General features: G+C 43.4%; 1 protein-coding gene across 1 annotated transcript in view, besides 6 other annotated features; it reads right to left on the bottom strand.

The window, feature by feature from the left end:
- MGMT (O-6-methylguanine-DNA methyltransferase) overlaps positions 1–13,489 on the bottom strand; it is a 303,743-nt gene that overhangs the window by 159,259 nt on the left and 130,995 nt on the right. The window lies entirely within an intron of this gene.
- Positions 6,967–7,056: a silencer, noted in NCBI's record as "silent region_2940". NCBI's record gives its function as "represses an Ori minimal core promoter by ATAC-STARR-seq in GM12878 lymphoblastoid cells {active_cell/tissue: GM12878}" and the evidence as "EXISTENCE:reporter gene assay evidence [ECO:0000049][PMID:35858748]".
- Positions 7,137–7,216: a silencer, noted in NCBI's record as "silent region_2939". NCBI's record gives its function as "represses an Ori minimal core promoter by ATAC-STARR-seq in GM12878 lymphoblastoid cells {active_cell/tissue: GM12878}" and the evidence as "EXISTENCE:reporter gene assay evidence [ECO:0000049][PMID:35858748]".
- Positions 7,710–9,041: an enhancer, noted in NCBI's record as "VISTA enhancer hs656". NCBI's record gives its function as "enhancer in: forebrain[4/6]" and the evidence as "EXISTENCE:transgenic organism evidence [ECO:0001131][PMID:17130149]".
- Positions 7,710–9,588: a biological region, named in NCBI's record as "VISTA enhancer hs656".
- Positions 8,389–9,588: an enhancer, noted in NCBI's record as "BRD4-independent group 4 enhancer chr10:131400401-131401600 (GRCh37/hg19 assembly coordinates)". NCBI's record gives its function as "activates an origin of replication core promoter dependent on BRD2, P300/CBP, MED14 and CDK7 cofactors, and independent of BRD4, by STARR-seq in HCT116 cells {active_cell/tissue: HCT116}" and the evidence as "EXISTENCE:reporter gene assay evidence [ECO:0000049][PMID:35650434]".
- Positions 9,805–9,864: an enhancer, noted in NCBI's record as "active region_4204". NCBI's record gives its function as "activates an Ori minimal core promoter by ATAC-STARR-seq in GM12878 lymphoblastoid cells {active_cell/tissue: GM12878}" and the evidence as "EXISTENCE:reporter gene assay evidence [ECO:0000049][PMID:35858748]".

The following is a 13,489-nucleotide window of genomic DNA, read 5'->3' as shown; positions in this document are numbered from 1 at the left end:
CAAGACTTAGGCCCCCGGCCTCAATTTGGGATGACTCTACAGGTCATTCTCTCTCCAGAGTTCCCTGCAGGACAGGATGAGACCTCAACTGCAACTAGGTCATAATGCAAGCCCCTGCTTCTCCCTTGCCCGATCCTGCAGTATGCACTTCCTTACAGAGTGTATCCTGGGAATACTCCCTGATATGGTTTGGCTCTGTGTCCACACCCAAACTGCATGTTGACTTGTGATCTTCAGTCTTGGAGAAGGGTCCTGGTAGGAGGTGACTGGATCACAGGGGCAGATTTCCCCCTTGCTATTCTCATGATAGTGAGTGAGTTCTCAAGAGATCTGGTTGTTTGAAAGTGTGTGGCACCTCCCCCTTCACTCTCTCTCTTCTTCCTGCTCCATCCATGAGGATGTGTTTGCTTCCCCCTTTGCTTTCGGCCATGATTGTAAGTTTCCTGAGGCCTCTCCAGAAGCAGAAGTCTGTCCAGCCCAGATAACTCTGAGTTAATTAAACCTCTTTCTTTCATAAATTACCCAGTCTCAGATGCTAATAGCAGTGTGAGAATGAATGAATACACTCCCCAACAGCCACCTGCACACAATTCTGCATCTGAGTCTATTTCCAGGCCTCCTCTACTCCCTAGGAGTTGATGTGTTCTTTCATCCTGTGCACCATAAAAACTGCAAAATAGAACATACATAAAGGCTGAAATACCAAAGTTTAAGCCAGAATTAGAGGCATAGTTAACTACTGCCCATCATCCTGTTGGCTGGAACTTTCACTTTTGTTCATTTATTCATTCAAGTATCTCACGAGAACATACTTTGTGCTAGACACTGTTGTAGGCTCTAGGGATACAGCAGTGGGCCAAACAGAGATAGGCTCTGTCTTAAGGGAGGGTGCATTCCAGTCAGGGACAGAGGCAAATGAATGCACTATATCCTAGATGAGGGCTTTGCAAACTTTTGCCTAATGAGCCAGATATTACACACATTTTAGATTTGCAGGTCAGACTTTATTGCAACTATTCAACTCTGCCATCATAGGGAAAACAGCCATAAGAAATCAAGTCTTTATAAGTGTGTTCCAATAAAATTGTATTTGCAAAACAGGTGGCCAGCCTGAGAGCCATGGTTGGCCAACCCCTGTTTTAGTTGGTAAAAAATAGAGCAAGGAAAAAGTCCAGAAGTGCTATGAGGGGCATGAGGAATCGCTATTGCATATGGACGGAGAGCTGAAGAAAACAAGGGGCCAGCCATGTGCAGGGTGGGGGCTCAAGTGTTCCAGGCACATGCCAAGGCCCTGGGGTGGGGCATACTTGGCAAGTTCCAGAACAGCAAGGAGGGCAGCATGGCTGGAGCACAGTGGTTTGGCAAACTGGAGGAGAGGAGTTTAGAGAGAAAGGGTTGAGGGTTGACTTGCAGATGACATGGGCCTGACAGGCTATTTTGAAGCCTTTGCCATTAATACAATGACAGTGATACCGCCAAAGAATAAGGTGCAATTGTTAGAATATGATAGTGTCTCAAAAAATCAATAAATTCTAATGATAAAAATATTTTCAAATATTCTAAGTATTTGAAAAATCCTAACTCAAATATTGAATATCTGCTATCTTTGACTGGGATATTTAATAATAGACCAAAGCATACTCCAAAATAATCCAAACAATAGTTTACCATATATCAAAATACCTCCAAAGCAAAAACTCTCAGTGTCTGCCTAAAGCTTTCTATTCATCTCCTTTGCTTTTCAACAGCAAAATCCAAACTGCACAGACGTCACTGGGCATCTCGATGCTTCTGCACTTCCACCCTCCTTTCTGCTGCCAAGCTCCCGGGCCTTTTTCTAAAGGCCCTGCTCAGCCAACGCCTCCACCATTGCCGCCTGCCTCCCGTGGTGGTGTCCCCCCAGGTGAAATCTCCGCACTGCTCCTCCTCCTCTGCACCATTCCTCCTCCTGCTCTTCCGCTCTCCTGCAACACTTCCTACAGTGTTCAGGGAAGCGCTTCCAGCCTCCCACCTCAGAGAGCTCTGAGCAAAGAAGCACCAGGTCTTACTCATCCTGCTCCCGAATGGAAGTATCAGCTTTAAGTCCCAAACCTAATGTACCAGGTGCTCATTTCATCATCTCCCAGCACCAGAGTTTGCAAAGAAGTGGGTTATGCCCCACAGAGCTGCTAAGCCAGCGCTGCTGTGAGTTCCTCTTCACCTTGGGTGGCAACACCTACCGCCTAGGGTTACCCCAGCAAACCTCCACCATCCAGCCTCCAGGGACTCCAGATGGGGCCAGAGATTTCACTTCTACCATCCAGCCTCCAGGGGCTCCAGATGGGGCCAGAGATTCCACCTCTATCATCCGGATGGGGCCAGAGATTCCACCTCCATCATCCGGATGGGGCCAGAGACTCCACTTCTACCACCCAGCCTCCAGGGGCTCCAGATCGGGCCAACGATTCCAGTTCTACCATCCAGCCTCCAGGGACTCCAGATGGGGCCAGAGATTCCACTGAGGAGGGAAAGGTGTGGTGAGAAAGGCTGTAGACAACCTCCTTTCCTGTGCTACAGCCCCCACTGGACTCTCAGGATCATGTCCACCTGTGCCATCACTGTGGCCACAGGCACTGCCCCTCCCTGCATCACCTGTTCAAGCCACTGAGCCCGGACCTGCCCAGGAGAGGCCCAGCAGCAGTAAGAGAGGAGAGAAGGCTTTGTCTCCATGCCACCGCCGGCAGGTGACATGAGAGAGCAGGCCCCGACAGGGACACAGTGTACTGCGTAAGCATGCTTTACTTCACTTAAATCAACTGCTACATCTCATTCTAAACCAATAGCAAAGGAAAAAATAAAAGTCACCACACTCCGCATTCAGCCCGGGAGATGAAAGGGAGTGGCCAAGGCGGACGGGGCCTCAGCTGGGGAGCACGCGCTGGGCCTCCTGCCCCTGGGCAGAAAGTTCCTGGACTGTCACTCCACATCTCCCCTCCCAAAGAAATCACCAAAAGCAGCTGAGACAATTATTGTACTTAGAAATTATTTTTTAAGGAATAACATAAAGAAATGGGCAAGAAGGTGAAGGAATAGACTATTAAATAGAAAAACTAAATCGAAGAGCGTATAATTATACGCAGAGAGATTATGCCTTATTTTAATATAAATAAAACTTTTTAAGCGTAAGATAAAAAGCCATGCCTCAATACACCAGTTTTCCAACAGAATACATTCAATTCAAATGATTCTCATAATCTCAAAACAAGGTTGTTTGCTTTATTTTAGAAGCCTGATTACTTATAGATTTACAGTGGGTGAAAGTGGAAAGGTTCAGTACATCTTGTAATGAGAAATCTGGCCCCACCGACGCAGCTGCGGCGCAAACCCGGAGTTCCTCCCCTCCTGCCTTCCATTCTAATCTAACTCGATGACTAACTTCAGCAGACCCCTCTGTGTAGGGACTATTTCCACACTCTGCTCCGGGCTACGCATTCTTCTGTGTATATACTAGTAAATTCAACAGCCTCTTTAACATCTGAGAACGAATTATGACAAGTCATTTTTTGCTCCATATTGCAAGTCAACGTGGCAACCCCGTTTTTTTTCTATTATAAACATGTACTATACCCTGGCTCCAAGTCGTTTTGGATGCTGATACAAGATTCATAATGGCTGTCAGAATCTGCAATTTTCCCTTTTGTTTTATGAGGTCAGGCAATATTACATGCACTGATATATTCCATTTTCCCAGCTGAAAACCTTCTCATTTGAGCCCGACAGGTTGAGGGAGTCATGATTTGGCAACCTCGCATGTGAAACACGGTACGAGGGGGCAGGTGGCTAACCCCACGTCCTCCTCTTGCTCTTGTCCACTGGCAACAGTAAATTAAACTGTCAAAAATGGAATTGTCCTGTCATCAACAAAGCTATAGCTTCACAAGTATTGCAACATCAGATATATTTCTAATTCTGCATTTCCCTGCACCTGTAATTTCATCAGAAATTCGCACTGGACCATGGTGAGCAGCTGTCCAAGGGAAACTGGCACTGCGAATTCCTTTAGAGGGTTGACATGGCATTTCAAAGACAGAAATTAATGAACAATTCCAGCAATTTGTAATATATATAAAAAGGGTGTTCAGTGTGAGGTCCTGACCTTCAGCAGGACCCTTTAAAAGGGCAGAAATGCTAACGTGGACATGACATGCTGTGCGGCACAGTGGAAAGAAATTACACACAAGTTACTCTGCAAACAAAACAAAGCAAAACACAAACACCCTGGCAGCAGCCAGTCCACTTGAAAATTACTTAATGGTCACAGAGTCAATTGGCCTAGACTGCTATTAAAAATGTTTAAGATCAGGAACATACTTCTTCAATGGTACTTAGGTAGAAAGGAACTTCAGCCCTTAAGTTAAAATGTTATCCGACAATCCATCTTCCAAAACCACTCTGATTTCTTCCAGGTAATTCTTCCCGGGATATTCCTCCAAGAGAAAAAAAAAAAAATGACTGCCCTCTTCCTTCTGAGGATTTACGCGTGGTTCTGATTCTCCTTCCACCATGGCCTACTATGACCATTTCTGCTGGCCCGGACTGCACTTCCAAGAAGTTACTCCCTTGTAAGTTGAACAAAAGTCAAAGCCATCTCCACCTACCTCCCAAACCGGAGGGTGCCAACTCAGAACTCTTGTGAAGCTACCATAGGGCAAGAACCCTCTAAGTTGTCCTATAAATTTGCAGAGAAAAAACGGGCTTTCCCAGCCCATTTAAAAACAACATAAAGTCACAAGTCTAGTTGTTATTAAATATTGCAGTCAAATACTGTTATAGATTATTCCTACAAAAATGCATTGCTTATCAAACATTATGCTCAAGACAGAAAGTTAAATTGAGATGAGGAATCATTTCACAGCTTAATACAGTCAAAGTGACTCAATATTCCTTTATTAATTCTCATTTAATATCACTTTAAATTGCTGCCATTATTATCCCACCGTAGACGAAAGATTCTGTGTAATTAGTCTGTATTAAGCCCTTTTTATTTATAAGGAGCCAAATAAACAAACCCACTTTAATTACCGGGGCTCCACAATATTGATCTGAGCATCAAAATTTAATATGACTTTATTTCAAATTTCCATATGACTAGTATTTAAATTTCTTCCAGCAATAACAATTTTGCAGGCACAAATGACTTTTCATTCAAAGTATGTAAATTACTGCCTAGCGCCGGGTGCGGAGGCCCTCGGTGCCCACAGCATGTTTACAGAGACCTCAGGGGCCTCCCCGCTGCACGCTTTGCTCCCTAATACGGCAGGAAAAGCCACCAATTACCAAAAGAGACAAAAGTCAACGAAGACAGGGAGTCTTCTCCCTCCCAAACCGTGTTCTCTCCCACTTCAGTACACGGTGTTAACGACATACAAATTTTGAGGTCATTAAGTATAAACAGGAACGGAGCGCCAGACAGGCAGGCAGGCAGGATGTGCTCACGTCAGCATTTCAAGTGCCCTCCTAATCCCACAATGCAAGTTTCGGCATTATTGTCTCAATTTAACTTGCATTAGTACCTAGCACCTTGATTACACTGTTGGGTGGTAATCTTCGCCTGCACATGCCATCATTACTTATGTCAAGCCTCTTGAGTTGTTATGAATACTACGTTGTTTTACGAGAGAGAGGAAATTAGTGCCAGTCCCCTAGAGTTTTGGGTGCTTAGCACAGAGGCACTGCGCAGCCCTCACAAATCCCACAACAAATCCTTGTTTAGTGCCAAATGGAGATAAGGACTTTGCAGCAACATTGGAGCATAAATAACTCATGTCCCTCTTTATTTGTAAATGTCAAAAAAAAAAAATCACCGTTCTTGAATGTTGCTTTTCACACACACACAGCACAACGGGTGTTTTTGGCCACGCAAGCACATACCAGTTGAGTAACACATTCCGAATTAACCCGCAAGACCAAGCTAATACGCAAAACAAAGAAATGTCCACAACACGTGTTTGAGAATTATCGTAAAATGCTGTTTGGGATGGATTTTTAATAAAAATGAACTTATCAAATTCAAGGGAAATGCACTGGTAACACAAGCCTTTCCTCGGGAGGACAATAAAGTGGAAAAAATGGGCTTCACATGTATTGCATTTTCCATGTTTTTTTTTAAATATGATCCACTATGTTGTTGAAAAGAATTATTTTCTGGTATTGTGGGGATTTTTGCATTGTCTGTTTATTCTGTTTACACAGCAAATGAAACCTACAATATGAATAAGTGAACTCCCTAGGGAGCACACGGAAGTCAGAAATGATGTACAGATGGGGACAGGGGCCCATGAAAACAGAATAGAAATTAATGTGCCCTCAACAGTCACATCTGGAATGGAACTGGCCAAATAAATAATTTTGACATTAAAAGAAATTAAAGATCAAGGACCGCAAATAGTAGAGTAAGTTTTTTAAAAAATAATATCATTAGTTTACACTATGTTTGAAATGGCATTTAAAATAAAATAATCAAATGTGCAGGCCAAAAAATGAGGCCTCGATGCATTTCCTCTTTTTCTTTCTTTCAATGGCCAGTAATAACCCATTTGAAACATCTTTCCCACAAAAGAATCTCCATATATTGCCTTCTTAAAGTGCTCTTATTTAAGAAACAACAAGATGCAGTCAAGTTTTTGCATCCTGAAATTGTTCATGTTTAATTTGGTAAAACATTAAAAGAAATCTCAGAAGGCAGACAGATAATCCTGTGCCTGCTACACAGCAGAGACAGTGGGGCCCCCATTTAAGGGTTCAACACCAAAACTGTGATTCCGTTCACTTCTTTTCTCTTGACCCCTCTGCTATCTTTATTGACGCAGCCCGAAGCAGACTAAACAAAAAGCAAAGGCAGGCTCTGGCAGTATCTTTTTTGAGACTGGGGTAAAGGTCTGTTGGAGACATCATTGTGAAAATGATAAAAGGCCTTGAGGTCACAGCCTGAAAGCCGGGGGGAGGGGGTGGGGCGGCGAGGTGGGGTGCAGGTGGGGCCTGCAGGGGCACCCCCTCCTCCCAGTGAACCACTGCAGCCCCCAACTCCCAAGACAGAGCCACAGGGAGCCACTCCTTTCACTACCCACACCAAGAGAGTGGCTCCTCCACGTGTCCTCAGATGAAGCCAATTTTGAAAAATGGCTTCTGACAGCCCCATAAAACTTGCATGGATTGACCAAATGGGTGCTCCTGAGCCCACAGACTGACCACAAGTCACACATCTGAGAAAGCACGTTTTCACGACTGCTGATTCTGTAAGTAAAGTCCTCTGGAGCCAGGGCAAATTCACCGCCACCAAATCTTCACCATCCACTGCATATGTAAAGAATTTTTTTTTCAGAAGATAAAATATTTTTCTGAGTGTAACAACAGGCATGACTTATTTCAGAATTAAGTGCTAGGCTCTCTGGTGCTTTGGGAAATGTAAACTACAATTTTTACTCCAAATCCACCATCCACTTCACTAGCTTGTGCTCTCCAAAGGCCCCGGCAGCCCCTTCAGATGATGAGCGTCGTAGAGAGTGCTTTGGTAAATCATGCAAACAAGGAGGAGGATGGAGACAAAGCCCTCCCTCTCCCCATTTCATACCATCAGTAAATTGATTTAGAAACTGCTTGGGGTAGAAAACAAATATCAAGCTACAAATGTATAGCACTGACTTTTGAAAAATCTGACCTCTGGCACCCGCAGACACACGCACACATCAAATCTTCTAAGAGGGCACCAGGCACTCCTACCCAGGCCTCCAGCCCTCCACTGCTCAGGAGGTAACAAAGGTGAGAACCTGCAAGAGGGCACAGGGTTAATATCTTCAATCTAGGAGTCTGAACAGCACCTCTGCAAACTACAGAGTAATCTTACTTTCAAATTACATAAAAATAACTGATTATTTTCAATACAGCCCTTAAATAAAAGAAAGTTTTATTCTTCACAGTGTAAGTGCTGGTATTTTTTGTGCCCGACAAGCTGCCCATACAAGAAGCAGTGTGCCTAATATTCTTGCCAACAAAGGCATTTGAAATTAGCAATTGCTTTTAGAAACTTTAATTACAATTTTAAAATGCTATTTCTGCTCTATAATAGATTCCAATTGTTTCAGTATTATCTGGCTTGCAAATAAAATCTACAGTAGATGACAATATTCCCAGGATTAATCACTCTTGAAATTCTAATATGCTCTTGAAATACCAAATAAAAAAGACAGCAATGTTGTTGATGTACTGAAAGCTTCTTGCTTTTTGCAGTTTGCTATTATTATGCATATCCAGGTAGAAAGTTAATTAACCCAAAGCTTAAGCTAATTATGATAGCAGAATGCTATCAACCCAACGCGCTCAGTCAGACAGCTGCCCGGAATCTCACTTGCTAATCATCTGTCTTTGGGCTGAGCATATGGTACATTTTCATGCTATCAGAGAAACAACAAACAGCTGAAAATCATTAACTAAAAACAATGTGCATAAAATCAGAAGCAGTTTTTTATACAGCTTTGTGTCAGACAAAAAGCCAGATCCTTGCCCTATAAAAATTAACGATTATTTTGGTTCTTGTCACTTAAAAATTTTAGCTGATAGTGCAATAAATATGTGACAAGAATTTTAGTCGCATCAATTACTTGTTTATATGAGTTTGCAAAAATATTCTAAATTTATAACAAGGGCATTATAATAAATTTTGGGAGAGACTGTGACATAGGTTCGTATAGTTGCCTGAAGATTTAAAATTAGCTGCTAAGAATGACCTCTTTGTTTGCTTTGTGTGGAACCTCGGTATCCACATGCTAATATCTTAAAGATGACTTTTTTTTAATTGCCAGGTAAAATGTATGAAATATACTTGCAGACATTCCCGAAGCAGTATGTGACATTTCTGAGGCCATCCAGAAATCTGTGTAGACACCAGAAAGCTACATCGATCATGGTAAAAAGTTCACCTCAATGTTGAGCTGGAAAGGAAGGAGGGGGAGGGAGGGTGGCAGCCCCCAGGTAATGCCGGGAGCACTCAGGTATTACCCAGGCACGTGGGGCGCACTCACCATTCCTTTTCAGATTTGCCTCCCATGTATCTTGTGCTTCACAAGTCCTAGTTACCTGAAGCCGAAAGGACAGCAGGAAATCCTACGACACACGGCCCATCTGTTTTGCTTTGTGTGGCTCTCAACCCTTTGGATTGTGACACAGATTTGTAAGTTCACAAGGCACAGTACAAGCAACTTCCCAAACAAATTTTAACTTCATTTTGGTGAATCCGCTCTCACAAGAGGAGCACACCAATTATCTTTAAGCGCATCTCTGAGTCTTTCTAAACCTCCTGGGCTCTAGGCTCAGGTACTTATATTAATTTTAAGCTCACGTACCCAGAGGTCTCAAATGCCAACCTCGCTTGGAGATTTCAGGAAGCGCGTTCCTTTTCAACATGCCTGACTAGTAAAGTGACACTCACAACATTTTCTTGAAATCACTATTACTATTAAAATTTTGTACTTTAAAAAAAAAGCAATAAAAATGAAGATTTTAAATGTATATGATTCTGTATCACACTTGCTAACATAAAAATGAAAATATTTCTCCCCTAAAGACCAGGTCATTTGATCAAAAGGAAAACTAGTTCCATAAACTGTAAAAATAAACTTTTTTTCCTTCTTGGGGAAAGCTGAGATTTAACTTTTCGCATGATGTGACATCTGCAACTGTCGCCAGTCAAAGGCTCAGCAGAGCCTGATTAATTGTTAGTCTAGGGGGATTTTTGTTGGTCACGGACCAATGAACTACGGGGAATTTCCATGGCTGTAATGTACCACGGCGACAAAACTCACTCTATTTGTATTGCAGTGGCCACTGGAACACCAAGCACTCTACTACCACATCCTTACGTTGCTGCGAAGTGTCAAGAAGCCCTGCACGCCCACCAGCACTTCTTGCAAAGACCAAGTGTGATGTGGGAAGATACTTCCCTGACGGTCTCCCCAAGGACTTTGGTTATTTATTTTGGACCAAATTAAAGTGACTTAGAAGGGACATATGTCTTCTTCCCTACTCCACAGTAATGGAACCCACTAGCTCCCATGGTTGGATTTCTGCCACTGCTGGGGAGGCCTGAATCGATCTCGAGGTGGTGCTAGGATGAGGACTTAGACAAAGTCCCCAGGTGAGGGGCAGGATCCAGGAAGCCAGAAGCCCCTGCAGTGTTTCCCTTACTCATCTCCACACTGCCAGGAAGGCTGGACACCCTCCTTCCAAGAGCAGTGAGCCACCCAAGGTCTGCCCCATGGCTTAGAACCCCTTAAGCCAAAGGAGAATGAAGTGGCCAAACCATCAGGAAACTCTGATTAAACAGAAGACATAAAGAAACCCCACCCAGTTGCTGTTCAACTTTTGTTGCTGTTCCCAGTGCACACACAAGCCCTGGAAGAGAAACAGTATTTGATATGGACCAAGTTTGTATACTACTGTTTGCAAACTGAAAAGGACCTCTGCTTGCTACTCCACTGGGAAGACTGAAGCCAAACCTATTACTTTAGTCATAAAGGTTTAATCATTTGCGGTTCAAATGTTGACGCCTCTTCCCAATGCGTTGAATTTTTCACATCTAAGTTTTTGAGCTAAAAAAAAAAAAAATGCTTTCAGATGAAAAATGCCACCAAGAAGGAAAGGCATATGGAGGCTACTTAAATCTGGTCCTTAAAATCTTTCCCTTCTCTTCCCAAAGGCTACATACTCAACTCTGATATTGATATTAATATTAATTTGTCATTAATACTAATGTTTCACTAACCAACTAGGAGTATTTTGAAATATCCAATTTCTCTGGATAGCTAAACCTGAGGTTCCACTATGAAAAATGTTTTCTAATTACTGCTTGCCAGTAAGCCATCAGACAATGCAGCCAGGTTTCCCATTAATTCAGGAACTTCATACTTGTATGGAAAACTGGCCACATCTGAGTTGGCCACCTCGGCAGGTCATAGCCAATTCCTGCTCTTAGGATACCCACGCAGGCCATTTTGCGGGCAGCCTATGGGGGTGCTAAGAGGCAATACGGATGTTTACCTCACTTGATTAATTTAATTTTCAAACAAGTAATCCAATGAAAGTAATGGGTGTTGCTCTTGCTAGCTCAATGAGCAAAGAAATAGGCTCACCAGCTACCTGCCAACCTCCCTCTCTTAAGAAATGGCTCCACAGTCGGCATGTCTGCCCAGTCCAAATCACAATGTGTATTTTTTAATTGTTTTCTGGGTCTATTAATGAGAATGGGTGACTGCTGAATGCATTCCCCAAACATTCTCCTATAAAGATGTGATTTTAACCTGTTGCCTCTAGCTCTACCTACTAGAGAATCTCTTGGTTTATTTTCCACAGTCTCCTTCCCATGTGGCTCGGAGACAAAGGAAATTCAGGTGGGTTTGTAGGGACTAAGGTGAGAGCTACCCCTAACCACGAACTAACTCAAGGGACCATCCCAGGAAAATAATTTTGTGCGAGATGGCAGCCATGGATGGGCGGACGCAGAGATGGGTCGCTCAGAGAAGCCGCAGCCAGCAGTGGATGTAAGGCTGTATCCCTGGAGATACTACTGACTTAGACAGAAGTTAGACTCCCTGCACCACACAGACTTAGGTCCCAGGCTGTGCCACAGGTTTCAAATTTGTTCATTATCCTTCAAAAAGAAATGACCCGTCAAATTGCTAGCAGACATCTACCTACCTACCTACCTACCTACCTACCTACTTACCTATAGGTAACAACAGGCATCTAGAAAGACCAATGTACATTAGTGTGCAAACGTTGCAGGGATATGCACAGTTAATATGACACTTGATCCGCATCAGATGGGCAACAATTAAGTTGCTCTGTCACTCTATCTCCCTGGTGAAGAAAGGATGGTAAAATGGGAATGGTCTGAGTTTTCATGACAAACAGTATAGAAACAACCTATTCAAAGAGAAAGATATGCACACCCTGTGTAAACATTCAGTTATAGAACTCCCTCCCACAGACTTGCCGGCCTCAGTGAATCGTGTGTGAAAGCATGTACAAGCATATGTCTGCACTGACTGCAGTATTATCTGTGGGGTGGGAAGGACGCTTATTACCATAATTTTTGAGGGGGGAAGGACAATGGTTGGAAATGCTTTGTATAGCCACATCTTAGAATATTAGGTGACTAGGAAAAAGGATTAAGATCTGAAACCACTGCCTCGAAGGGATGATAAATGCGCAAGACAAGAAGCAGCAAGATGAGAGGAATACCCATCAGGATCCCACATTCTAAAAACTAGGTTGAAACTTCAAGCACATTTGCATTTGTACATGACTACTTCCTAGTGACGAGAGCAACCTGTTGAATCAAGCTTAGCCTAAAGCTGCCTCCTTCCATGTTTTGAATGTGGCCTCAAGGTTTTTCTGTACCTCATGAACTATAACAAGTGGAGGTATAAACAGACCGTAGCCTACTCTTGTGCCAATCACTGAGTTTTGGCCAATCCAATATAGCTGACTGTTCAAACCATGTTCAAATAAGGCAAACGCTGTAACCAATCTGGCTGTTTCTGTGCCTCGTCTCTGTCACTTTCCTTTTTCTGTCCATCTGAGCCTACTCTGGCTTTGGGAGGCTGCTCGATTTGCGAATTGTTCGTTGCTCAATTAAACTCCTTTAAATTCAATTCAGCTTAAGTTTTTCTTTTATCAGTACCAACTAGGGTATTAGCAATTGCTAAGGGAAAAGGGAGAGAAGAACATAAAAAAGGGAAGGGCTGGAGACAACAAGAGGTGAGTAAACTGGGGTAATAAAGGACTCTTTAAAAATGATGTCCCTGTCAAAACAAGCAGCTCAGGGCATGTGTTCAGCACCTGAAGAGGCTCAGAAGCTACTGACGCCATCCGCATGGAGTGTGAGCCCAGGAGGGGGTGTGGGCAAGTCGTCTCTACTTTGTAATATACAAGACAAGCACATCTACATCCTCTAGAAGCAGACACTTAATTATCTACTAGTTAGAAGAAAATTTAGGATTGGCCAAGGATTCCAACCATAAATATTCTTACTCCCTAACAATTCAGAACAAAAACACCAAATAGAGTTTAACTCCATGCTTAGTAATCGGGCAGCACATTTTGCTTTCTTGCGTGTGGTTTTGGGTTCTCCCAATTGTGTTTATTCCGGAGCACAGTTTTCCACTTTAACTTCCTGAACCAGCAGCACCACTGCAGGGGAGTGTGGGCCACCAAGATGACATCTGACCCTCAGGCAGCACCCCCAGGATGTGCCAGGCCCACCCCAGGCCTACTTGACAAGCCCTTTACTTCGGAATCTGTCACCTACGCTAAGAGATTGGCACTATCATCCCCTTATACAGATGGAAGCCGCCAGAAAGAACAAGAGACTTGCCCACGGTTCCACAGCAAAGAAGTGGCCCACGCAGGGTTCAATCTCAGGGAGCCTGGCTCCTAAGTCTGCTCTGAGAAACAC

The sequence above is a fragment of the Homo sapiens genome, chromosome 10, assembly GCF_000001405.40.
Source record: "Homo sapiens chromosome 10, GRCh38.p14 Primary Assembly".
In the NCBI taxonomy this organism is placed as follows: Eukaryota; Metazoa; Chordata; class Mammalia; order Primates; family Hominidae; genus Homo; species Homo sapiens.
Note: the sequence above shows the minus strand (reverse complement) of the source record. Positions and strands in the feature narration are given on the sequence as shown.